Source organism: Homo sapiens, chromosome 3 (assembly GCF_000001405.40).
Source record: "Homo sapiens chromosome 3, GRCh38.p14 Primary Assembly".
Lineage (NCBI taxonomy): Eukaryota > Metazoa > Chordata > Mammalia > Primates > Hominidae > Homo > Homo sapiens.
This window is the reverse complement of record NC_000003.12, coordinates 5674616-5702492: the sequence shown is the minus strand read 5'-3', so window position 1 is coordinate 5702492 and position 27877 is coordinate 5674616. Positions and strand designations below refer to the sequence as shown.

Genomic DNA, 27877 nt, shown 5'->3' with positions numbered 1-27877 from the left:
AGTCATGCCAACCTCTCTCTCTGCTATATCCCGAAGTCCAGCACCCTGTGGGTCAGCCCCCGAAGGCCATCCAGCTTCCATCTCCCAACACTAAGTTCACTTCCTATCTCTCATGGCAGAGAGGAAACAGCATTCCTTGGGGACCTGAAGGGATGCAGTGAGCTTAAGAATTTTCAAGAGCTTATCAATCAGTCAGCCCTTGTTCATCCCTGAGCGGATATGTGGTGGTATTGTGGTGGACCTTTACTGGACACTCTGCCAAATAACTGGAATGGCACTTGTGCTTTAGTCCAATTGGATATCTCTTTCATGCTGGCATTTCATCAACCAGAGGAAGGAAAAAATAAGACATCATAAAGTGGGAGAAGCCCCTTATGGGTCTTTTTACTATTTAGACACAGTTTTATTTGACATCTATTTAGACACAATTACAGTCCCAAGGGTAATACCAGATCAATTTAAAGCCCAAAATCAAATAGCTGCAGGATTTGAGTCAATATTTTCATGAGTGACAAATTAATAAAAATGTAGATTGGATAAACTACATCTACTACAACAGCAATTTATTAACTACACTACAGATGCTGTTAAAAGAATAGCTGAGCAATTAGGGGCTACTAGCCAGATGGCTTGAGAAAATAGGATAGTCTTAGACATGATATAGCAGAAAGAGGAGGAGTTTGCATCATGATTAAAACTCAGTGTTGTACCTTCATCCCAAACAACACTGTCCCTGATGGAAGTATAACAAAGGCATTGCAGGGTCTGACTGCTCTGTCCAATGAGTTAGCCAACAACTCAGGGGTAAGTGACCCCTTTACGGGATGGCTAGAAAAGTGGTTCGGTAAATAGAAAGGAATAATAGCCTCAATTCTTACTTCCCTCGCAGCCGTAATGGGTGTACTTATTCTTGTCGGGTGCTGTGTCATACCATGCATCCAGGTGTTGGTGCAGAAGCTCATAGAAACAGCACTTACTAAAACCTCCCTTAACTATCCTCCACCTTAACCGGAGAAGCTTTTTCTTTTGGAAAATCAAACAAAACAACTGAGCCAAGACATGTTCAAAAATGTTTGAAAGAAAGAGCTGTAAGAAAATGCAAGAGGAGGGCTTGTTAGATGTGAGTTCTAAATCTCTTTTCAAAGAATCAATATGTCAGTATGTTCACTTCTTTGCCTTCTACTTTTAAACTTAACTTCCTCCTAAAGCAACCTTTTTTGATTACCTGCTCCATCCTGACTCATTTCAATCACCTGCTCCACTCTGACTCATTCTGATTACCTGCTCCACCCTGACTCATTCTGATTACCTGCTACCTGCTCCACCCTAACTTATTCTCCACCCTGCATAACCAACCATTTTTCCTGCCAAAGCACTCACCCCGTCATTCTCTTTAAATTAGCCAATCGGAATTAGTTGAGCCTGTGCATCTAACCCTAGCCAATAGGGCAATGACACAGCAACAGGGGCCACATGTATGAGGGATAAGAACCCCTTCCCCTCCCTTGTCCAAGTGTGTGCTCACCATTGTTCCATCTGTAAGGGCACACCCTTCTATAGAAGTCACTTGCCTTGCTGAGAATTAAAAAGAAAATTTTATATTCGAGTGCTATTTCTTTTGTGGCACCAAAACTTTGTAACACACACTATTCCCTTTGGCTAGAATGTTCTTCCAAACTCTACTTGCAGACTTTCCATTTTTCAAATCTCAGCCCTTTCTCAAGGTAGTATTGCTAAATTACTTAAAGCAGGTCTCTCCTTTTCATTTTCTCATGGACACCTTTTCCTTTCCTTCATAACAATTGTCCCAACCCAAACATATATTTATTTGTATGTTTGCTTAAAATGACAAGCATTAGCATTTATTTCCATTTACAGTGTGAGGACAATATTCCAAGTGCTTGGAGTCTAGCATCTCATTTTAGCCTCACAACACAAAATGAGATATATAACCATTTTATATGCATGGAATCAGAGGCACTAGATTATGCAGTTTTAAGAAGGTGATTCAGCTAGTAAGTGGAGATGCTGGGATCTGAACAGCCTGACTCCACAGGTGTAACAACTTGATTAGTGTCTACATCATTAGATGTAGAGATCTCATGAGAGCAGAAGATGTCTTGTTTTTGTATAGTAATATTTTAGGCCCTTAACACAAAACCTGGCACATGTTCATAGTAGACTTATCAAACACATTTGTTTAATAAATGAGCATAAAGATGAATTAATAATAAAGGGTAATGTTGCAGGAATTAAATAATTCAGAAAAGTTTAAAGGAAAGAGCTTGACATTGAGAGTACGTATCCATTTTTTCCCTATAAATTAAAACTGTCACTGTTCACTTGTAATGATGGGCACTTTGGTTTAACTCATAGAACACCAGTTTTCTTTGCCAGTGTAGAGGCACCGGACTAGATGAAATGTGAAATCCTTAGGGTGTGTGAATCTGATATGCCTGCCTATAAATGCCTCACCCAGCCCAGCCCAGGCACATAGATCCTTGTTGGACTGGCTGCATGAGGAAGAAAGTTGCAATGTGCTCTTTAAATATTTATCCCATAGAGTTTAGCACCACAAGAGGCCTCAGGAACCCTGAGCAAAATTTTCCATGGGATCCCCTAAGATGCTTCTCTACTAATAAGATGGCAATGGGGTGCAAAGCAGTTATTTAGGCTACTGGTGACAAATTCCTGTAAGACGTAATAAATTCCTCTTCAAAGGTTTTAGCCTGTAAATTGTTAAGTATAATGAGTTCTGAGATCCTCTCCAAGAAATCAATGTATCAGTATGTTCAGCTCCTCTGTTCTTTGTTCTTCATTTTAAAGTTTGACTTCCTCGTTCTTTACGTCTCCTTGCCCCCAGTTTCAGTGAACAACCCCCTCCTAGCCTCTATCACCTGCTCTGATCTTAGTCACCCTTGGTCACCTACTCTGTTCTTAGTCATCCTGAATCACCTGCTCTGTAACCATCCTTCCTGCCAAACTACTCACCCTGCCACTCTGGCTCATACTCCCGCTTTCTTTAAAATAGCCAATCGGAATTAGCTTAGACTGTGTGGTCCAAACCTAGCCAATAGGGAAACAACACAGCAGTAGGGGCTACCTGTGTCAGGGATAAGAACCCCTTCCCCTCCCCCTTGTTTAGGTGTGCTCTCGCCATTGCTCCATCTGTGAGACGCACCCTTCTTTAGAAGTAAAATTTCTTTGCTGAGAAAATTCATATTAGAGTGCTATTTCTTTTGCAGCACTGAAAATTTATTTCCAACAAATTTGGGGGTTCATCTAGGATTCCCATTCTCCTCTGGGAAAGGGTCTTCTGCCTCTCCCATGAGAAGGCGTGCCCCACTGCCTTGTTGTGGCGGCCTCAGGGGTAAGGAATCAAGACCCACCTGGTGTGATGAATAAACCTGGACTCTCAGCGATGCAGGAAGAAACAGGCTGGCAGCTTGGGGAAAGGATTCTTACATACCACGGCGACCAGGTAACTCTGTGCACAGACCCAGGTAAGAAACATCGCAAAAGCGGCAAAGTATTTTCTTGGTGGTCAGGGCCAAGGTAAGAAAAGCCGCAGAGGCAGTGAAGTATTCCTTGGTCGGGACATACCAAGGCAGGAAAAGTTGCAGGGGTGGTGAAGTACTCCTTGCTCAGGGTGTCCTGGAGGTTAAAAAGAAGTGAGGAATCTCCACTGGGGGGATTGAGCCTCACCCCAAAAGGGGAGAAATTTCCAGTAGGAGAAATTGAGCCTCACCCCAAAAGGCAAGAAATTTCCAGTAAGGGAAATTGAGCCTCACCCCAAAACCATCAAGGTGTGAAATACCCCAAGTAAGGTAAGAGATAAAAAGGATAAAGCTAGCAACAATAATACTCCCCCTAATAATCCCCTAGGCCTAATATTAAAATATTAGAAGGATAAAACCAAAAACAAGAAAAAGCAACTGCTGTTTCAGAACATTCTCCTATCCCTGTTGTCCCCCTCCTTATAACCCTGCCTCTTGGGAATCATCCCAAAGGCCCACTTACTACCAGCTTGAGTTCCCATTCCTAAAAGGACTTCAATGTGAGACAGAGCAATGTAAAAAGGATGGTCAGAGCTTTCCTTTCCCCTCTTCTTGGGAGAAGAAAGAGGCATAATCCATAGAGCTGCAATGGGAGGTCAGGTATGTGAATACCCTCCCAGCCAAAATATTCCTACAGCAGATCAAAAATTTCCCACCCAAGAGCCCCGGTGGGACAATAACAATGCAGCCAACCAAGAAAATATGCAAGACCTTAGGGAATTGATAATAAAGGGCATTAAAGAATCAGTACCCCGAACCCAGAATCTTACCCAAACATTTGACGTACAGCAAGGGGAAGATGAAGGGCCTATAGAATTTTTAGACAAATTAAAGGAACAAATGAGAAAATATGCTGGTCTAGGTCTTGAGGATCCTCTTGGGCAGGGAATGTTAAGACTTCATTTTGTCACTAACAGTTGGCCAGACATTAACAAGAAATTACAAAAGATAGAGAACTAGAAAGATAAACCTATAGAAGAGCTTCTAAGAGAAGCCCAAAAAGTATATGTAAGAAAAGATAAAGAAAAATGAAAGCAGAAGGCAAAAATTCTGCTTTCAACCGTATAACAAAGTATCCAGGGGGCCAGAACCTATAAAGAACCTAGACCTCCATCCTCCAGGCAACATAAAGGGTACAAGAGAGTAAAGCCAGGAGACTCAAAGGTGGAAAAAAAAAATCTTAGAGAGAAAAGGACTGACAGAGGGAACAGAGGGAGTCAGGGAGAGAGAGAGACAGTAAGAGAGAGAGAAAGAGAGACAGAGAGGCAGAGAGAGAGAGGAGGAGAAAAAAGAGGCAAAGAGAGAGGGAGGAGCAAAGGGAGAGAAAGAAGACAAAACAAATGTTTCAAATTAAAAATAGGTCACTTCAAAAGAGAATGTCCCAAATGGGAAAAAGAACAAAAGTCATATATAAAAGCAAATCAGCTAATATTAGATGCCTGTTAATTCTGGAAGCAGAGAAAAATCTTTTAGGAAGAGATTTAATGCTAGAATTAGGCTTAGGCCTACAAATCAATCATGGAAAATTCCTCCCCTCCCTAAACTTGCTCACCACCGCAGACGAAGAACACATTTATCCCAAGGTATGGTCAATAGATGGGAATCAAGGAAAGTTACAGATTCCTCTGATTCATGTTAAATTAAAAACCCCTGGGGAAGTAGTAAAGCGAAAGCAGTGTACCCTATTCCTTTAAAAGCCAGGGTAAATTTAAAACATATAATTGATAATTGAAGGTCTTCTCTGTGATGGGCTTCTGAAACCCTGTATGTCTCCCTATAACACTCCAATACTGCCTGTAAAGAAGCCAGATGGGTCATACTGGTCAGTACAAGACCTTACAGCTATTAATCAAATAATCCAAACTACACACCCTGTTGTTCCCAATCCTTATACTATTATCAGTAGGATCCCAAGCTGTCACCACTGGTTTACAGTAATAAATTTAAAAGATGCCTTCTGGGCTTGTCCATTAGCAGAGGACAGCCGGGACCTATTTGCCTTTCAGTGAGAAGACCCTCACTCTGGTCAAAAATAGCAATACTGATAGACAGTCTTATCCCAAGGGTTTATGGAGTCTCCAAATTTATTTAGTCAAATATTTGAACAAGTCATTTAATTAACAAAGGCAAATGGAAAACTGAGTTTGAATGGATTGAAGGCATCATATCCTTGCCTCTGCCGGAGACTAAACAAGAACTTAGAAAATGTTAGAATGAGTCAGTTACTGTCATCTATGGATAGACTCTTATGCCTTAAAAACAAAACGCTTATACAAAAAGCTCATGAAAGACGGGCTAAACCGCCTCATTGGGCAATTACCAGAAATCCAATAGGTGGGAAGATTAAAACATCTATTAGTAACTGCCCCCGTCCTAGCTTTACCCTCCTTAAGCAGCCTTTCCATCTTTTTGCCACTGTAAACAAGGGCGTAGCCCTAGAAGTACTTACCCAAAAGCATGGAGGCCACTGACAACCCGTAGTCTTCCTATCAAAAATCCTTAAGCCAGTAACCCACGGATGGCCCAGATGCATTCAATCTGTAGCAGCAACTGCTTTGCTAACAGAAGAAAGTAGAAAAATAAGTTTTGGAGGAAACCTCATTGTGAACACACCTCACCAGGTCAGAACTATCCTAAGTCAGAAAGCAGAAAGGTGGCTTACTGACTCCAGAATCTTAAAGTATGAGGCTATTCTCTTAGAAAAAGATGATTTAACATTAACCACTGATAATTCACTTAACCCAGCAGGTTTCCTAACAGGGGATCTATATCAAAAGAGAGAGCACACATGTTTAGTTTTAATTAATTACCATACAAAGGTCCGACCAGACCTAGGAGAAACTCCCTTCAGGACGGGACAACACTTTATAGATGGTTCCTCCCAGGTGATAGAGGGAAAAAGATACAATGGGTATTCAGTAATTGATAGAGAAACTCTTGTAGAAATAGAGTTAGGAAAATTGCCTAATAATTGGTCTGCTCAAACATGTGAGCTGTTTGCACTCAGCCAAGCCTTAAAGGACTTACAGAACCAGGAAGGAACCATCTATACAGATTCTAAGTACGCCTTTGGAGTGGCTCATACATTTGGAAAAATTTGGACTGAACGAGGTCTTATTAATAGCAAATGCCAAGACTTGGTCCATAAGGAATTAATCACCCAAGTATTAACTAACCTTCAGCTGCCAAAAGAAACAGCTATTGACCATGTCCCCGGACACCAAAAAAGCCTTTCTTTTTAAAGTCAAGGAAATAACCTAGAAGATCAGATAGCCAGACAGACTACCATTTCTTAGCTGTACAACTGGCCTGCTTTGCAGCTAGGTAAAACCTAGGACACATGGAGTTAAATTTTAGAATAAGCCAGACCTTGTCTGCACTTCTCTCTAGATCTTAGGCTGTACACCTATCACATAATTAAAATCCCAAACTTAAAAGGTTATCAACAAAAGTAAAATTTGCTAAAAGTTAACAGTGTAACGTGTATTATCCTAATTTCTAATCATGTAGACTTAGGCACTCTAGTCCACAGACATAAAGGAAGTTTGCTTCGGAAAAGAACGGTTATCATCTTTGACATTAAAAAAGGATAATTTATGTAAAAGGAATCTTATATGGTAAATTCTTGTCCTAAAGTAAATTAACTGGTTGTTGGGAAGAGATGTTTACAACAAGTCAGAAGGTTAAGGCATGTCAAAGATTGTCTGTGAAAGTCATCAACAATGTTATAAAAGGAAATTTGTTCAAGAAATGTATAATTTAAAAGTAATTAGGCCTCCTGAATGTAAAACTATTGAAGAAACAGTTTATGTGCAAGGTGTGTAAGGAAAGTAAAATATACTTTTGGTAAAAGGATTATAAGGAGGCAAAAGAATATGGATTTTTACCTACATTAAAAGGTTAAAAAATTATTTTAAAGGTTTAAGCAAGTTTTGAAACATTAACTGTAATGGAAATTCTGTGTGTAAACATATTGGCTAAAGTTAAAGGGGTATCATCCAGTTTTTCTGTCAACTGGACATTAAAATAAAAGCACAACAGGTTTTTCTTAAAGCACTAACCTGCTCTTTAACAAAAATTATAAAGGGTTAAAAAGAGTCTATAAAAATCTTACCTTATCGTCAGGCATTAAAATTGGATAAATATGTCTACAAGGTTTTATTAAAATTGAGTTTAACATTAATAACACACTAATATAAAGGTGAAATTTAGCTTATCTGGTATAAAATCATACAGGAAGTATTGTCAAATATAAAATGGTGTTTGGCTTTCTTTGATCTAAAAACAAAAATAGGTGCTGAAGAGAATTCACAAGGAAAATGGATATTGCCAGACCACAGAGAAATGTTATCCAAACCCTTATGAGAAAAATCTTGTTCCAGCTGCATCAAGGGACCCATTGGGAGCTCCAAGCCATGTGTGATTCATTCCTCAGAGTTTATGGGTGCATAGGAATTTATACCCTGGCCAGTTACAGACAGTTGCTTAGTATGTAAGAAAATGAATAAACAAACTATAAATAGATTGCCCCTTGGGGGAAGGAGTCCAGGCTTAAGGCCATTCCAAAGTATCCACATTGATTACACAGACATGCCTCCAATTGGTCGTCTAAAGTATTTATTAGTAATAGTAGCTCACCTTACTCATTGGGTAGAAGCTATTTCCTTTTCAAGTACAACTGCTAATAATGTAGTTAAGGCATTATTTGAAAATATTATACCCAAGTTTAGATTAATAGAAAACATTGATTCAGATAATACAACTCATTTCACTGCACATGTCATTAAGAAATTAGCCCAGGTACTGGATATAACATGGAAATATCATATTCCCTGGCACCTACCTTCATCAGGAAGAGTGGAAAGAATGAACCAAACTATAAAAAAAGCCACCTAACCAAATTAGTCTTAGAGACTCGGTTGCCATGGACTAGATGCCTTCCCATTGCCCTGTTGAGAATCTGAACAAGCTCCTTGGAGAGATGTTGGCTTATCCCCTTATGAAGTGTTGTACAGGTTGCCCTGTTTGCATTCCACTGATTACATTCCCACATTAAAAAAAAAAATGATCAGTTTCTCAGAAATTATATACTTGGTCTTTCTTCCACTTTCTCTTCCCTCAGAACTAAAGGTCTTTCAGCACACGCGCCACCCCTAGAGTTTCCAGTACACCAACATCAGCCTGAGGACCACATCCTCGTCAAAAGTTGGAGGGAAGGAAAACTCGAACTGGCTTGGGAAGAACACTTCCTAGTGCTTCTAACCACCGAGACTGCAGTTTGAACAGCAGAAAGAAGATGGACTCATCACACCTGGGTCAAAAGAACACGACCCCCTCCAGAATCATGGGCAGCTATTCCTGGGCCAACTCCAACGAAGCTAAAGCTTGGTTTGATCCTCTTACATTGCATCTCTTTCTTTTCCCCTTCGATTGCTAGACCTCTCATTAGTAATGTAACTAGGTCAAGTTCACCCCAAACTACTACTTTTGATGCTTGCCTTGTGATGCCCTGTGGAGATTTGCCTAACCAGAGGTAACTCTCCACTTCAGAAAAGTATCTTTATCCTTCCTAGCTCTCCTCAGACTGGAAATCTGTTAACTGGGATAGGTTAGTTTGGGATGAGTTTGACGAAGATTCTAGTATGAACTGGGAATCTTGTCCTCCTAGAGCAGAGCTTCTCTGCCGAAGTTGGTCCAATGCTCTGTAAAATACTGAAGAGCAAGGATGGACCACCCCAACTAGTACTTGCAGTTTCTTAAAACCATATATTCATTTTACTACAAGAGTTAACCCTCCCCATTGTCAGCTGAACCAATGTAATCCAGTACAGATTACCATCGCTGCTCCCCAGAGTTCTTCCCCTTCATTAAGCTGTTTCTATGGTATTGGAGCAGAAGTCTCAGGGAAGGACCCCATGGGATCCTTTGCAATGCACTTCGTCGCCTCCTCACCTCCTGCACCCACTTCTCCCTCTCCTTAGTTCTCCGGTAACCAAACCTTCTCTCGTTATATACCCAATGATAAAACCAAAGTAATTGTTGTACAGGTTAAAGATTCAAAACAAACCATAGCAACTGAAACAGGGTATCAGGACGCAAATGCTTGGCTGGAATGGATTAAACATTCTGTTTGCAGGCTAAACAAAAGCGCCTGTTACACTTGTGTGACAGGCAGGCCAGAGACCCAAATTGTTCCCTTTCCACTTGGGTGGTCCTCTCACAGACCGGGCACGAGCTGTGTGGTAGCTCTCTTCCAGAACCCCACAGCCTGGGGTGGTGAGTCATGCAAGACTCTTTCACTGCTGTTCCCTGAGGTCAAGAGCCCTGCGGGTCAGCCCTGAAGACTATCCGGCCTCCAGCCCCTGATGTTAACTTCACCTCATGCCTTTCACGGCAGGGGGAAAAGTTAGCATTCCTTGGAGACTTAACAGGGTGCAGTGAAACCAGGCCTTTTGAAGAGCTTACCAATCAGTCTGCCCTTGTTCATCCCCGAGCAGATGTGTGGTGGTATTGCTGGGGACTACTGCTGGGTACTCTGCCAAGTAATTAGAGCAGCACTCATGCTCTAGTCCAACTGGCCATCCCTTTCACCCTAGCATTCTGTCAATATGATAAAAAAAAAATTGTAAAAGAAGTGCCTCACGTGGGTCCTTTGACCCCCATGTTTATATAAACACTATTGGAGTTCTATGAGGAGAACCAGATGAATTTAAAGCCCGAGATCAAATAGCTGCAGGATTTAAGTCAGCATTTTCATGGGTGACAATAAAAACATAGATTGGATAAATTACATCTATTATGATCACCAGTGGTTTATTAATTATTCCACGGTTGCTGTCAAAGGGATAACAGAACAACTGGGGCTCACCAGCCAGATGGCCTGGAGAAACAAAATGGCCCTGGATATGATATTAGCCACAAAAGGCGGTGTTGGTGTTATGATTAAAACTCAGCGTTGTACCTTTATCCCAAACAACACTGCCCCCACTGGGGGCATAACAAGAGCCTTACAAAGACTTACTGCTTTATCCAATAAACTAGCTAAACTTCTAGAGTCGATAACTCTTTCTCAGAGTGGCTAGAAAGGATGGTTTGGTAAATGGAAAGAAATCACAGCCTCAATTCTTCTCTTGCAGCCTTAGTAGGTGTACTCGTTCTCGTTGGGTGTTGTGTCATACCATGCATCCGTGGGCTAGTATAAAGACTTATAGAAGCAACACTTACTAAAACTTCCCTTAGCTCTCCTCCACCTTATTCAGATCAGTTTTTTCTTTTATAGGATTAAATTGAACAACAAAGCCAAGACCTGTTAGAAAAGTTTGAAGAGAAACTACTATGAAAATTGAAAAGGGGGAAATTGTAGGATAATAATAATAAATTCCTGTCCAAAGGTTTTAGCCTGTAAATTGTTAAGTATAAAGTTCTGAGATCCTCTCCAAAGAACCAATGTATCAGTATGTTCAGCTCCCCTGTTCTTTGTTCTACATTATAAAGTTTAACTTCCTCATTCTTTATGTCTCCTTGCACCTAGTTTCAGTAAACAACCCCCTCCTAGCCTCTATCACCTGCTCTGACCTTAGTCACCCTTCGTCACCTACTCTGTTCTTAGTCATCCTGAGTCACCTGTTCTGTAACCATCATTCCCACCAAACTGCTCACCCTGCCTCTCTGGCTCATACCCTTGCTGTCTTTAAAATAGCCAGTCAGAATTAGCTTAGACTGTGTGGTCCAACCATAGCCAATGGGGGAATGACACAGCAGTAGGGGCTACCTGCATCAGGGATAAGAACCCCTTTCCCTCACTTGTTCAGGTGTGCTCTCACCATTGCTCCATCCAGGAGATGCACCCTTCTATAGAAGTAAAATTGCCTTGCTGAGAAAATTCATGTTTGAGGGCTATTTCTTTTGCGGCACTGAAAATTTATTTCCAACATTCCTAACAGTACAAACACTTGGAATAAGTAGCTCCTTTCTCCCTTCCCCTTTTCCAGCGGCAGCAACACCTCCAATATGAACTTGGAGATTGGCATCTATCATCCTTCCATTTTAACCCATCCAAGGACTCTTTAGAAACCATCAACAAAGGCTATTCTCTAAGACATATGGCATAGGTCAGGGGCTAGGAGATGTTTTCTTTGAAAGATTACATAAACATCTTAGGCTCACAGGCCATATGCTCTCTGTCACACCTATTCAACTCTGCCATTCTAGCATGAAGGCAGCCATAGACATATGTAAGCAAATGGATGTTGCTGTGTCTTAATAAAACTTTATAAAAAGGGCCAGATTTGGCCTATGGAGCTGTAGTTTGCTGACTCCTGGGAATAGACCTTATTTAATTAATAATTGCCTTAGTTAGATTTTCATCTTATTTCAGATAATTTCTATCTCATCTTGGTTGAATTTGCATTCTGTTCCACACTATCTTCTTTGGAAGGTCCCAGGAAACGTATAGATAAAAGAGACTGGGCAGATACAGATAATGAAATAGTATTTGCATGAAAAATGTTACAATTTCTATGGCTGGCTCTTTGCCTGTCAAATAAAACAATGTGCGTGTTGTTTCTTTAACAGACTAACTCAGAATTATCCCCATTACTTTAAATGAAATATGGGATGTTCATTGTTGAATTTCTTTCCTTGCTACATACCTTGATGCACAAAGAAATCAAAGGAATTATTACCAATTCTGTTAAGTCAAACTCTGAATTTACAAAAGATAAATTAGTATTCAGAATCTTTTGATTTACTGTTCTGTAGAAATTCCATTCCATGGATGATAATTAATGGAACTGAGAGGTCATTTTAATTGTGTCATTTTTATAAGGTTTTTTTTTTTTTAGAGTTTTAAGAGGCTGAGAGAAAGAGTCAAAGGATATAATTCTACTTCACCACAGAAACAGTAATCTTGTGGTTCCTTTCCAATTACTGTAGGATGGTGTTAGCTTCTTAGAGGGGTTTTAGGTGATATAATGATGACCTATCTTATTTCCAAATACTTTTTTGGCATTTCTAAAGGATTATCATTCTGTCCTTTTTAAAGCATTTCTGTACCAGGCTCTTAAGACAAGATCCAATATAAGATATCTTTTGAAGACTTTATGGGCTCAACCTAACAGACCTTAGGATAAATGTCAACTGAAACCACCAGGGTTCCTAACATCCAGGGCACACCCACTCTAGGAGTCCTAGGTGTACAGAGTAGGAGTAAAGGAAGCAAACTAACACCCATAGAACTGCATTCTACAAGCATCACGCCCAGAGCTTTAGAAACATACTCTCTCAGTGCATGATTAAGGCAAGTAAGAATAAAATGCGAATTTCAGGTTGCCTCAGATAAGGAACTGGTCTGGGAAATGTGCATTATACTTCTTAGCATCTGTTTTCCAAGAATCTTTTCTTTCATGTCCAATAAATTTGGCAACTAGGATAATTAAGTGGCTTGATGAATATTTGAGAATCTTGATTTTCTAGTGTAAACAGGATTTCTTCAACTTCCATCATGGCCTATGTAATCCTTGGCCAGATGTAAGGCACTCATTTATGGGTCTATTATTTGGCTCTTTAGATACCTCTTCCATTTCAGAACATAGCTATGCATAATAATTGTATTCCAAGGTTAGCTCACAAATGGCATGTTAGGATGAATGTAGAGGAACATTTATAGTCATTGTGTTAGGGAGTATTAACTGGGCGTTACAAAGAATCTGTTCTGCTCCCAACCCTGTGTCAGGTTTTACACTTCTACCTTCCTGACCTTAATATAAGCACACTAACTTTTGCAAAGAGGTGGGATTAATAATACTTATTATGTATTTAGTGCTATGTGCCAGGCATAATGTAAAATACTTCATACAACCCTGTGAGGCAGAAATTGTTATCCCCAGTTTGCAGAAGAAAAACCAGCAGCCCAGAGAGAGGTTGTGATTTGAACAAAGTCAAAACCTAGATAGTGGCTGAGACAGAATTTATACCAGGTCTGTCTCACCCCAAAGCCTGGGCTCTTAACCACAATGCTATGATTCTCTCTTATTTTCTTTCTTTATTTGTTTAAATTGTGGGAAGAATACTTAACGTAGAGATCTATCTTCTTAACAAAAGTTCAAGTGCACAACACAGCACTGTTAGCTGTAGGCACAATGTTGTGCAGCAGATCTCCATCACTTAATCGTCTTGCATAACTGAAACTTTATACCCATTGAACTGCAATGCCCACCTCTCCCTCCCCCCAGTTCCTAACAACCACCAGTCAACTCTCAAAATCTCCCATTTTATAATGATAGCTTTCAACTTGAGAATCCTTCCCAATCAATTTAATCCTCAGCCTCAGTACTCCTAGGAAACCCCCTCCTCCCATCATCTACCTTAAAGAAGGCTCTTTCCTGTGCCCTAGTTGGCTTTCCAATCATTTCCTCCTAATCTTCAAGGGTAAACAAAGCCAAAATGCTAGAATTAGAATCTCCAGTCTGTCAAGTACCAGCTGAGTGGCCTTGGGCAAATTACTTAACTTCTCTGGGCTTTCGTTTTCTTTACCGCAAAATTGGGATCCATGTAGGTAAAATTCCCCAGAAGCAAACTCTGAAACAATGATCCACATGAAAACTTGGATTTGTTAGAAAGTGTTCCCAGGAAAAAACAGAAGAGTGGAGAAGTGGAGCAGTGATGAGAAGGGAATATGATTTCAAGAGGAGTCCCACAGAAGAAAACCTTGGATTGATCTCATCAGGGAGCTTTGGAGATAGTGCAGGTCTTACCTCGAAGCCATCTTCATCAGGCACAAGGGAACGGAAGTGTTTATACTCCTATGCCTCTCAGCCATTGGTTCAGTGCCACACCACAGAGACATAAATTCCCAAACGACTCTTTATAAACACAGACAAAGCAGGTTTCAGCAGACTGGAGGAAGGTCTATGTCTGACATGCAAGTGTTGGTTATTGGGGCTGAAAGTTCATTGGAAATGGTATACATAAAAAGGCTAAAGAGATCTGGGCAGAACAGTGATACCAGCTGCCACAGGAGTACTAACAGTTCCTTCTCTGTTTCTATGAGGGTTTTTATTGGTAAAATGCTTATGAGAATGCCTAGTTCATAGTAGGCACTACTAAATATATGTTACATGAAACAAATAAAAAGGCTACAAGGTGATAATATGGAGAGTCCACAAAACGGTAATAAAAAAAATGAAAAGAAACTCTAGATTCAAAGTCTAATCTTTTCTTCTTTTGGGAATGATCTTGCAAAGTTCTCAGGCAGGTTTTGTAGGTTCATCACCTCCAGGAGAAGGAAAAATGAGAATCCAGGGCATGGTAGCATGGAGCTCTGGAGGCCTAATTCCCACTCCCTGACTCGGCTTAACTCTAACATACTGAGTTAAACTAAATAAATCGATTCAAGAGTTCCAAAATCACAATATAATATTGAGCTCTCTACCAAGGCTGAGGAAATATTGAGCTCTCTACCAAGGCTCTACCAAGGCTGAGTGGCCCTATGGGGACTGAAAGCAGCGTTTTCTCACCACAGCACCACCACAAGAGAAGTCACACAGCTGAAGTCACACAGGGAATCTCACACCTCCCACTGTCCTCCCATATCCTTTTGCCACCCTCCCAGCTTGTTCACATCCTTTGCCCTGAAGCCCAGTTCTAATGCTAACTCTTCTGGCAACTCACCCCTAATTCCTCCACACCCAGCTATGAGATAGCAGCTTCCTCTCCTTGGAATGGCCACTGTACTTTAAAGGAAAAATAAATTATGAAGTGTGTCTCATTTACCTGCAGTTAGAGTGGAATTGTCTCCAACTACTTGCAATGATCTCTGCTTGTAGACAGTTCCTTCTTAAAGAAAAGCACTATGTTTTATTTATTATTCTACACCACCAGGAATCTAGCGTTATAGGAAAATCAAATGATTTTAGTTTCTTAGAAAAATTTGTAATTGGAGAAGAATGTTGAAAGCAAGGTCGTACCGACAGGTGTCAAACAAACTCTACTGTCACGGTTATGGCCTACAGTACCCCCACTAATAGTAGTAATCTTAATACTCATATTCAAACCCTATATTCTAAAACTTCTTGTGAAAGTTATCTTTTCTCACCTAGAAGCAGCTAAACTCCAAATGGTGCTGCAGACAGAATCACGCATGAACATACTCTTCTTCCAAGGATCTTCAGATCAACCTCAAGGAGCAGCCCTAGAGGCTGTCCCCAACACAACACCCCTTTTCAGCAGAAAGTAGCCAGAAAGAGTCATCGTCCAAAACCCCCTAATAGCAGAGTTACCACTCCAGAGGGTTAAATGATAAAGGAGTTAAAAAGAAATTATTTAGGCAGACAATGAGGTTAAGGAAGTCCTTAGGAAGGTTTTCCTTTTAATGAAAAGCAGCCCCCCAAATCATTTCTTTTCTAACAAAAGAAGCCTGTAAAATCGAGCTGCAGACATAAATAAGCAAGCTGCAAGCTTTCATAGGTAAATGCCGGCAGCTGTGCCAATAGGAAAAGACTACCCGAAGGCCAGGCATGTTCAACATGGCGGCTCTATCTTCCCTTTCCTTTGTCAACCACATGTACAGTGAGGAACAGACAACATGACACCAGCCAGGTAGAGAACCCAGCTGCATAATAAAAAATTATGGTGGGATGGCCAGCTTCCTCACGCACTAAGCAAATGTCACACCTTCTCGGAGCAGCCTCTTGAGCGCTATGTAAATCAGATACCACCTCTTCAAGCTCGTCTATAAAACCCCATGCATTTCATCATGAACTGGAAGACCCACTCAGGTGCCCCTCTCTCTCTGCAGGAGAGAGAGTCATTCTCTTTTCTCTTTCTTTTGTCGATTAAACCTCTACTCTTAAATTCACTTCTTGTGTGTCCACGTCCTCGATTCCCTTGGCATGAGACAACAAACCTTGGGTATTTACCTCCAACAACAACACCACTTCATTACTTTGAAAGACACATAAATGACCCTTATATCTATGGTTATTGTCCTGGTCTCAAATCTTACTCAAAATCCAAGAATGGCTGTGTCCAAGGAGTGAATTATTACCCCTGTGAAGTGATTTGAGCAAGGAGACCTCTCTCCTCCAAGGCTGCCAACCAAATTGCTAACATTCCCAAAGAAGTAGGTTAAGGCATTAAAAGAGATCACAGCTGTGATTCAGAATTTATTCATTTCCTAATATGAAGCCATACCCCACTGGTGGTCTTCAAAATGATTTTAGGTAGCTTATACATAGCCATTTTTCAAATTTGAGCAGTAATATACTAATATATCCAAATATAATTGTTATCTATAGGCTACCTAAAATCATTTTAGAGACTAAATGATTTAGTATATTAGAATATACAAATGTATGTGTGTATATATGTATGTGTGTGTGTATGTGTGTATATTTCAAACCTGTAATTTTCAAATCCATTCTTTCAGAGATTATAAGAACAAGTCGATTAGAGTCTACTAGGTATGCACATATAGAGCAAAACTTGTAAAGGGGGCATTGGAGATAATTAAAATTTGAGAAATATTGATATAGTGAAAATTACATTCGAGTTATAATAGAAGACCCAGATTCAAATCCTGGGGCAAAAATAAAACCCATATGACTTAGCAAGTCACTTACCTTATCTGAGTTTCAGTGTTCTCTTCAATAAGATAGTTTTTATAGCCTGTGTTTTTAAATATCTGTTAAATGTAAATGTCCTTCTATGGTGGACACACGTATTCCCTTATCACTAATTTCATCTTAGCACAAAAGAGTTTATCATAGCATTTGTTCTGGCATCTAGCTGGGTCCTAGAGAACTCTCACAAAAGCCAGGTGCATTTGTATGTGGAAAGCTAAAAACATGAAAAATTTAGGACCTAACTGGGAGCTGGAGGGAGTCAGTCTAAAATAAGACCAAAGCCTTAGGTAAAGATGAAGGTACAAAGACTGTATAAAAGATGGAGGTGAGGTGAGTAAAGATGACTTTCATCTAATTTACAATTTGACTAAAAGCCGCCAAAACTACAGTGGTGGCTCACACGTGTAATCTCAGTATTTTAGGAGGCCAAGGCAGGTGGATTGCCTGAGCCTAGGAGTTTGAGACCCACGTGGGTAACATAATAAGACCCCATCTTTACAAAAAAATAAACAAAAATTAGCTGGGCATCATAATGCATGCCTGTAGTCCTAGCTACTTAGGAGATTAAAGTGAGAGGATCACTGGCACCCAGCAGGTTGAGGCTGCAGTGAGCTGAGATACCCACTGCACTCCAGCTTGGACAACAGAGTAAGACTGTGTCTCAAAAAAAAATTACATATATATATATATATACACACACACACACACATATATATATCACTTTATATTTCTCTTGATAGCAAATGTGATCCTTTAAGCAAGTAAGACAAAGCTTAGGGGAAAGACAGAGTGACTTAAAAATAAATAAGAAATTATCCTGAGAAGATAAAGTTGTTTCTGAAATTATATTATGTCCAATCTATATTAATAGCTTTTATAAACCTAGATGTGCTCTTGTATAGTCCCACTTTGGAAACTTACTTCTCTGAGCTTAAACTGAACAATGAAGGACTTGACATCTGCCACCCTGAGTCTCAGTGTCCTGTGACTGGTGCACCTAGACTAGCTCTGACCTACTGTAAGGAGGACATATGCTGGAGTCTGTGTTGTGATGTCACAGTGGCTTTAGACTAAACAAGCCATATTCCTCATCCAGAGACCTCCCCCACCTGCCCTCCCACCCCACCTTCAGACCTGCACTAGAACACCCCATGGATTTAGGAGCCACTGGTAAGGTTATGGCTTCCCCCACTGAATGAAATAAATGGACTCAGGAAGGAATAAAACCCAAGGTGTCCTCTTCACCAGCATCATTCAGAACCACCTCACTCCTCAGGGGCCACAGAAGTGCTGAATAAAATGAAAAGGTATCATATGTCTTTAGCAAGAAAATCAGATTCTATTAGAAAGAGAGAGAGAGAGAGAACTCTAAGTGTATTTAGAGCCATGGTCTTGTTACTCCAGAACAGGATTAAATCTACTACATATCAGACATCTTTCGTCATCTGGCAAGTGCTTCAGAGATGCAGTAGGCTTCTTCTGAAAGACATTTAAAATTCACTACCAAAGCTCTACATTAAAGACAACCATTCTGTTCACTTTGTGCAGATTTCTCAAGAAAATGTTGTCTACTTCAAATCACAGAAGAGGATTTATATAATTTCCCCCAAAGAGAGGAGGAGCAGTTATTAATCTTTGCACAAGTATGCTAAGGCTAGAGAATTCCTATTACTTCCTGGATTTACATAGTGGCCCCCTAAATTCTGGGGATTAGGGAAAGAAAAATTAGGTTGGCCAAATAGCAGGGGGAAGTCTTTCCCTGCCAGCATCTCCATTTCAGAGAATTATGATTCACCATGTATCAAACTAATCATGGCAATTTAGGACAGAGTAAACTCATAATTCTGTGTGTAGAAGGCAAGGCTGCACTGTCTTAAACATCTGTATTAAACATCTTCATACCATGGTTACTATGAAAAGACTGGGTCTTTGCCCTTAGCCTGCTAACTCTGATATATAAGACAAACAGTACCCGTGTCCATTAAATACAGGTGAAAGTGACATATTAAGAAACACATGGAAAACCTACAACTTAAAAGCAGATGTTGATGGTTTAGGTAGATTTGAGGTTGCTTTCTTGTGCATTCCTATGAAGACAATAAGACATTTTTGAAGTAACAGAGGGTGAGTTACAGTAAGAAAGGAAAAGCAGCAGAGAAAATAGCAGGAGATAAAGATAGCAAAGAGGTGAAAAGCAGAAAGCAATTTTTTAAAAAGCAGAAAGCAATTTCTTTGTTCTCTTCCAATATATTTTTGTGTTCCAAATTTAATTTGTCTTATTCCATGTATTTATGGGGACCTCTTTTGGTTTCCGAAATATTTTTATCACCTCCACCATGGGAAAAAATATGCATCGTAATACTAGAAATGCAGCTGAAGGAATCACAGGATAAGCTTGTTTACTAGTGGACCCCAACAACCCAAGCTGGTAACCTCTTACCATATCCAGCTTTTGGGTTTTCTCATGGTCCAGGTACTATTTCAAAAATATCTTTATTTGTAGCTTCTAAGTTATTAACTAAATCCACCCTGTAAAACCCCGTTTCTCCAACATTACCATTCCCTTAGAAACAGCGTTGCTAGGTAAAATACAAGATGCCTGGTTACAGTTAAATTTCAGATAAACAACTAAATTTTTAGTATATGGGGCCAAATATTGCATGGGGAAAAGCATCCTGGTTTTTATTTTTTGTACTGTTTTAATTTCATTTGGTTTAGTTCTTGCTAAATCTGAAAACCCTGCTTAGAAGACAAACTTAACTCATCATGATAAAATTACACTGAGTGCTGAGTGGCTTGGGCAAGGATGGAATAGAAGTTTGAAGAGTCAGGGGCCAGATGTAAGAATATGATTGATGTTTACAGTAGGACAAAAACATGTTTTCTACTATTACATATACCCTCAATACTGCACTTCCGACACCAGATGTGAGGGCTAGGGGTTGTTCTATACCAACAATTCTCTGTGGATACCAATCGGGCGCCCTACATTCAACTCAGTTCTGGCAGTAGCAGGAGTTAGCATAGATGCCACAAGCTGAGAGCTCAGTCTCACAAGACTGCCCCCAGTTTCAGGTACCAATCACAAGTTCTAGATTGTTACCTGTGCTTCTGACCAACCAGCTAGAAACTGGAGGTTCCCACAACCTCCTTGAGTTTGATCATTTGCTAAAGCAGCTCACGGAATTCAGGACAATTCTTACTATTACCCACTTGCTATAAAACTACATAACTCAAGAACAGCCAGATGGAAGAGATGCATAAGGCAAGGTATGTGGGGAGTGGTGCAGAGCTTCTGTGCCCTCTCTGGGTGACAAGGTTTAGAAGTTTGATCCCTACAAATCTCATGTTGAAATGTGATCCCCAGTGTTGGAGGTGGGGCCCAGTGGGAGGTGTTGGATCACGGGGGTGGATTCCTCATGAGTTACTTAGTGCCATCCCCTTGGAGATAAGTGACTTCTTGCTCTGTTAGTTCACATGAGGGCTAGTTGTTTAAAAGGAGCCTGTCACTCTCCTCTCTCTCTTGCTCCCTCTCTTGCCATGTGAGAGGGCAGCTCCCTCTTCACTTATCACCATGATTGGAAGCTTCCTGAGGCCTCACCAGGAACAGACACCAGTACCATGCTTCCTGTATAGGCTGCAGAACTATGAACCACAAGAAACCTCTTTCCTTTATAAATTACCCAGTCTTAGGTATTCCTTTATAGTGATGCAGATGAATTAACACACTGGTATTCTACCGTGCACATGTACCACAACCCAGAAGCTCTGTCAACCCAGTCCTTTTGGATTTTTATGAAGTTTCCATTACATAGGCATGATTGATTAAATGAGTGGCCATTGGTGATCAATTCAACTTTTAACCCGTCTCCCTCCCCTAAAATAAGGGGTGAGGCTGAAAGTTCCAATGCTCTAACTACAGGGTTGGTTCCCCAGGCAACCAGCCCTCATTCTGAGGCTCTTCAGGACCCTGAGCTGTCAATCATCTCCTTAGCATACAAAGAGACACTTATCAGTTCAGATGTTCCCAGGGTTTTAGGAGCTGTGTGTCAGGAAACTGGGTCAAGACCAAAATATATTATTTATGATATCCAATATTAGAATTTCTGAATGAGTTGAGAACCAAAATTTACAAACCTCCCAGACAGGGAGGATATCTGCTATTTTTACAACAAACTCTCAATTTTCCACTTTACTTTTTTTTGTTTTCATGACGCAGACTCAGAGAAAGGTGTAAAGAGAGAGAGATCTTGGAGAAGACAGGATGAGGATATAAATCAGACCAGAAAGTGCCAAGGTTTCCTCGGGAAAAAAAAAAAGAGAAAGAATGGATAAAGGATGAAAGAACAGGGGGTAGAAAAGAGTGGTGAGGGCTTGGTTTTCAAACTGTTTATTTTTTTCTTTTGCAATAAGGAGAGAACTTTAAGATGTTTTGATGAGTATACAGATGTATTTTCTTCCTACTCATAGGCTTTGGAAGAGACATCAGTAAAGACTAAATGATTATTTTTTTTTTCCACTTTAAATTCTGGAATACATGTGCAGAACGTTTAGGTTTGTTACATATGTATACATGCGCCATGGTGGTTTGCTGCACTTATCAACCCATCATCTAGGTTTTAAGCCCCACATGTATTAGGTATTTGTCCTAATGCTGTCCCTCCCCTTGTCCCCCACCCCCCAACAGGCCCCAGTGTGTGTTGTGCCCCTTCCTGTGTCCATGAGTTCTCATTGTTCAACTCCCACCTATGAGTGAGAATATGCAGTGTTTGGTTTTCTGTTCCTGTGTTAGTTTGCTGAGAATGATGGCTTCCAGCTTCATCCATATCCCTGCAATGGACATGATCACATTCTTTTTTATAGCTGCATAGTATCCCATGGTGTATATGTACCACATTTTCTTTATCCAGTCTATCATTGATGGGCATTTTGTTTGTTCCAAAGTCTTTGCTATTGTAAATAGTGCTGCAATAAACATACGTGTACATGTGTCTTTACACTAGAATGATTTATAATCCTTTGGGTATATATCCAATAAGACTAAATGATTCTTAACTACTTTTTGCTAAGTATGTTTCTTTGAAAGTGACACCAACATGGAGACTGTGCAATGTAGAATTCCACTTACATATTAGGGTTACACACAGCCTCATACACTGTGGACTGACAGAAAACTGAATGGGATTAGAAAGAGGTCCTTATTCTCCCCTACTCTACAATCCACGTATGTCCTTGTATGTCTCCCCAGGTTTGCAGGTTTATCACGGGTGCAAGACCCCATGAAAATAAGAAATACATTCACACTTCTCCAAGAGAAAAAAAAATTATTTTAAAAAACTCATTCATGACAGAAAGGTAATTCAGAAAATGCCAACAATAAAGCAATGTGCAATTTGAAAGACGCTTTTTCTGATTTCTCCAACCTTCCCTCCTCCCCCATATCAAGAAGGCCAGACTTAGGACAAGGTTTCACCTCACTTATATTCACATGAACTTCAACTTTGCTGTCACCCTAATTAAGCTGGTGTGATGCATGCATAGATAGGACTTTTTAAAATGCACTGCTAGTAAGTGGCTCTTCTTATTCCTTCCCACCTCTCAATTACATACTACCATTTAATTCCATTTATGATTTACATATGTACTCTAACATCAGTATTCAGTTCTAACAGACATGAATAAAATGTCCATAAAGTGATCATAGCTTTATTAGTCCATTTTCACACTGCTATAAAGAACTTCCTGAGACTGGGTAATTTATAAAGGAAACAGGTTTAATTGACTTACAGTTCCACATGGCTGGGGAGCCCTCAGGAAACTTATAATCATGGCAAAAGGGGAAACAGGCACGTCTTACATGGTGGCAGGCAAGAGAGAGAAAGCATGTGTCAGTGCAGGAAAAACTATCATTGATAAAACCATTGGATCTTGTGATAATTCACCATCACGAGGACAGCATAGGGGAAACTGCCCCCATAATCCAATCACTTCCCTCCAGGTCTCTCCCTAAACACCCGGGGACTACAATTCAAGATGAGATTTGAGTGGGTACCTAAAGCCTAACCATATCAGTAGCCCACTATGAACCTCTTCACACTGCACCTCTTTAGCATGCGGCTGTAAGAGATGGAACTAAAGGAGGAGAAAAGGGGGAGGAATTGCCTGGAAGTGTCAGGGGCCTCCCTCTGTGCCTGCTTTGGTATGGAGCCACTTCCCCAGTTTATTTTATTTCTGTATCACAGAGTAAGCATGATAGACCAGGGAACCACAGCAGGATGAAGGGTCAGAGGAAAGGAAAACCCTAGCCGTGCTGTCATACTTCCTCGTTCCGATAACCAAGCCCTCCAAATGACAAAGTTAACTAGAATTAAATGGAAAAAGATTTTTTTTAAGTTGCAGGTCACTTTTCCTTTTAAAAATCAGAACAGATCACACGTGGACTTGAAAAAATACACTAATATTTTTGTAGGTACCGTCAATATCAACCACCATATTGATTTTTTTGTTTTTTTAGCGCATCACATCTGGTAGTTGGACAACAAAAAATCAACTTGACAGCAAGAGAGAGAGAGATGGGAAAATGCAGAAACACTTATACAATTAGCTGATACAATAATTTCTGGTATAATTAGAACCTTGTGAAAATTAACATTGACACAAGCAAGGCTGCAAATATTTCATTAAGACAGCAACAATTCATTCTTTTTAATGTTCATTATTTTCCCTAATTTAACACTATCCAGTTCATGTTGACCTGTTATAGGTGAAGTCCAACTCTACTGCCAGAAATATTTTACATGTCTAATTCTCAGAAGTATAGAAAATGAGAGGAACGGAGAAATGAAAAAGATAGAATTGAGTCACTGAGGGAAAAAAACACAGTCTACAAATGAGCCAGAAAAAGCCAGGAAGGGGCAGGAGGTTAGTCACTGGGTTTTAAAAAATGATCATTATACTCCTGACAAAAATAGCAACAAGAGGAAAGGTTTTGAGATATCAAGTTGAAAGTGAATTATAAATAGCGGAACAATATTATTAAATCCTGATTATCCTTAGGAGAGAGCACAGCTCTTCTGTCCATAAATACAGTGCTGGGAGAGCAGTAGAGAGGCACTCATGGTTAGGAGAGACTTTAGCTACGAGTGTAAACTCTAAAGTCTTTCTGTGTTCAAGCCCTCATTCCTGGCCATTCTCAGGGTACCAGTGTCTTTCCTGAGCATTCTTTGTGTGCTTAGACAGAATTTAAGAAACAGAACCAGGCAATGTGTTCATCGAATTCCAGCCTCACTTGGTGTTAATATTTTTATATGATTAAGGAAAGCTAAGCATCAGATGTCATTGCAGACACACGATCCAGATGGTGACCCTGTAAAGCCACCACCTGCTTGCAAGCCTGTCTCTGTGCTTCTGCTGAGAAACAGAATGCCATTTCCCTTAGTGCCTGTCTTGTAAATAATCACCGCTCCCCAACCAGCCATTCCCCAAATGACAAGAACCATCCTGTGGCCTTCTCCGCTCCCCAGCCTGGCCTGGCCTCATTGTGCCTTGGAACTCTGTCCTCCTGCCTCACTCAAAAGGTACATGATTTGTATCTTACTCCCACAACAGCGTGATCCGATGTCACCACAGGCGGGGACTTTTAATGGGGTAAGTAACCATTACCTGTCCCAGGTTACATTTGCATTCTAAAATGTGTTCATGAGTTCTGGCAATTTCAGTGGTCAGGAGGTGCGCTGGGGAGGTGGCTGTGGAGCATTTGCTGGCATTTCAAAAAAACTACCTCATGGATGAATGCCGATCCAATCTTGTAAGAGATGGCTTGTGTTTAGGGATGTTTCTCAGAGGCCTGGGGAGAAAAACAAGCTCACAAGTGGCTTAGAAAGCAGCAGCTCCACATGGAATTAATATTACCATATAATTGGCCAATTTCATTCCAGGATTTTTTGCAGAAAACCCAGCTGCCTTGAAGTGCTATGCTTTGGGCCACTTCTAGGAGAGATGATACCCTTCCAGTAGGAACAAGATGTGGAGTTTTCTCCATCTCTATCTAAACATTTCTCCCACATGAAGCTGGTTACCGGGATCTCTCTCAAAAGTTATTCTTTTATCATTTCCTCCCTCCTTTCCTCCTTTCTTTCTCCACCCATCCACCAATCCAAGAAAGCTATGATGATAACTGGCAGCCTGTGGGGGCGGGGTCAGCTGTAAGAGGCCTTTCTTGCCTTGCTATAAACAAACACCTGAGGCTGGGTAATTTATAAAGAAAAGAGGTTTAATTGGCTCATGGTTCTACAGGCTTTCCAGGAAGCATGACACCAGCATTTGTTTGGCTTCTGAGGAGGCTGCAGGGAGCTTACAATCATGGCAGAAGGTAAAGGCGGAGCAGGCATCTCACATGGTGACGGCATGAGGAAGAGAGAGAGGGGGAAGATGCCACATACTTTTAAACAAACTATCTTGAACAAACTATCATGATGAGGACAGCACCAAAAGTTTGGTGTTAAACCATTCATAAGAAATCCACCCCCATGAACCAATCACCTCCCACCAGGATCCACCTTCAACATAGGAGATTACAGTTCAACATGAGATTTAGAGGGTGCAACATCCAAACTATATCAGCAGCACTGAACAAGCCAGACAAGGTTGCTGCCCTCACGGAGTTTACATTCTAATCCCAAGGGGAGGGCACAAAAAAATTACAAAGTATGTGGACATAAATAAACAAGGCAATATGATGTGAAAGAAACTGGAAGAAGGGGTGACCATTTTCAAGAGTGTGGTTAGGAAGGGCCTCTTTAAGGAAGTAAGATGTTAGCTGAGACACAAAGGAAGAGAAGCAGTAGATCATAGGGGGAATTGAAGAAAATAACGTTTGAGAAGATATAGCTTGTGACAAGATTTTTGAAGTAGAAATGGTTTGACATGTTCAAGCAACAGAGCAGAACAGTTGCTTGGAGCATGGTGAGACAGAGGTGCATATAAGGTAGAGGGTTTCAATGAAAGGGAACCCATGGGACCCTGTAGAACTGGAAAAGCATGTAGATATTATTCTCAGAGTCATGGGGAGCCACAGGAAGATGTTAAAGTGGGGAATGGCAAAATGGGATTTGCACTTTTAAAAATATCCCTCTATCTAATCTATGGAGGAGAGGCTGGGGAAGGGCAGGGAATCATTAGGTGGAAACGACCTGGAAATGACTGTTCAGGTGTGTGTGGTGGGGGGAGGTGGGGTTGTAGCAGAGGAAACAAAGGCTTGGCTTAAGTGTGCCCTGGAGAGGGACAGAAGATTGAAGGAGAAAAGCATTAAATTAATTTTGGATGTGTTAATTCAGAGATGTCTGTGCAGAACTCAGAAACTGATAAAGAAACTAGTCTGGGCCAGGTACTGTGACACACACCTGCAATCCCAGCATTGTGGGAGGCCTAGACAGTGAATCACCTGAACTTGGGAGTTCAAGACCAGCCTGGGCAACATGATGAAACCCCCATCTCAAAAAAAAAAAAAATTAGCCAGGTGCCATGGCATGCATCTGTAATCCCAGCTACTCGAGAGGCTGAGGCACAAGAATCACTTGAACCTGGGAGGTCGATGCTGCAGTGAGCCAAGATTGTGCCACTGCACTCCAGTCTGGGTGACAGAGCAAGACCCTCTCTCAAAAAAAAAAAAAAAAAAAAAAAGGAGTCTGAAGTGTAGGGAGGGATTGGTACTGGAAGCCTCCTTCTATGTAACCACCAAGATTTCTGGGAACCTGCCAGGATGTCTTAAGCAACCTGCTATGTACCAGATGCTATAGCGATAGAAATGCTGAGAAGCTAAGCAATATGGTTTGGATCTGTCCCCACCCAAGTCTCCTGTCGAATCATAGTCCCCAGTGTTGGAGGTGGGGCCTAGTGGGAGGTGATTACATCATGGGGGCAGATCCATCAAGAATGGTTTAGCACCATTCTCTCAGTGTTGTTCTCACGATAGTGAGTGGGTGAGTTATGAGATCTGGTTGCTTAAAAGTGTATAGCACCTACCCTCTCTCTCTCGGCTCCTGCTCCTGCCATGTAAGATGCCTGGCTCCCCCTTCACCTTCCGCTATGATTGAAAATTCCCTGAGGCCTCCCCAGAAGCAGATGCTGCCATACTTCCTGTATAGCCCAGGCAATTATGAGTCAATTAAACCTCTTTACTTTATAAATTACCCAGTCTCAGGTATTTATTTATAGCAGTGCAAGAACGGACTAATGCACCAAGGATGTAGTAGTAATGTCTCAAATAACATACACATATTTAAAAGTACATAGAATATGTTGAATGCTAAGTGAATTGCACAGAAAACAAAAAACAAAGAAGAGCTGATTGGGAGGCCATAGTGTCACTGTGCAAGGAGCAGCATGCATGAAATTTAGTAAACCTGAGTTTTATTCTTAGCCCCTCGCTGGCTGTGTAAACTTGAGCAATTCTTTTAGGCTTCCTAAGCCTTGATCCCTTCATGCTAAAATGGGCACTCTACCGCCATCCCCAGGTGTTGATATAATGTACAATAGAACATGTTTGGCTGGCATAAGACTGGCATCTACTAGGGAGAGGAGCAATCCAGCAGAGTTCCCAGAAGAGGTTGTATTTAGGATGGGACTTGAAGAACAACCAAAGTTGAGAACAACAAAGAGGAAAAATGAAGGCAATAAGATCCCCCCATAGCAACCCGA

The 27877-nt window shown here is 40.8% G+C and overlaps 2 long non-coding RNA genes across 2 annotated transcripts, besides 1 other annotated feature; one reads left to right on the top strand and one right to left on the bottom strand.

Moving 5' to 3' along the window:
* Positions 1-1983: 1983 nt before the first annotated feature.
* Positions 1984-18196, bottom strand: LOC105376939 (uncharacterized). The gene is made up of 3 exons (XR_940571.3): positions 18101-18196; positions 14312-14419; positions 1984-6115 (listed from the first exon to the last, which is right to left on the bottom strand). It is a non-coding gene; the product is annotated as an uncharacterized LOC105376939 (long non-coding RNA).
* Positions 2649-3848: an enhancer, noted in NCBI's record as "CDK7 strongly-dependent group 2 enhancer chr3:5740332-5741531 (GRCh37/hg19 assembly coordinates)". NCBI's record gives its function as "activates an origin of replication core promoter dependent on BRD2, BRD4, P300/CBP, MED14 and CDK7 cofactors, with strong dependence on CDK7, by STARR-seq in HCT116 cells {active_cell/tissue: HCT116}" and the evidence as "EXISTENCE:reporter gene assay evidence [ECO:0000049][PMID:35650434]".
* Positions 3128-11439, top strand: LOC105376938 (uncharacterized). Its single transcript, XR_940570.3, has 2 exons — positions 3128-3503; positions 8680-11439. It is a non-coding gene; the product is annotated as an uncharacterized LOC105376938 (long non-coding RNA).
* Positions 18197-27877: the final 9681 nt, after the last annotated feature.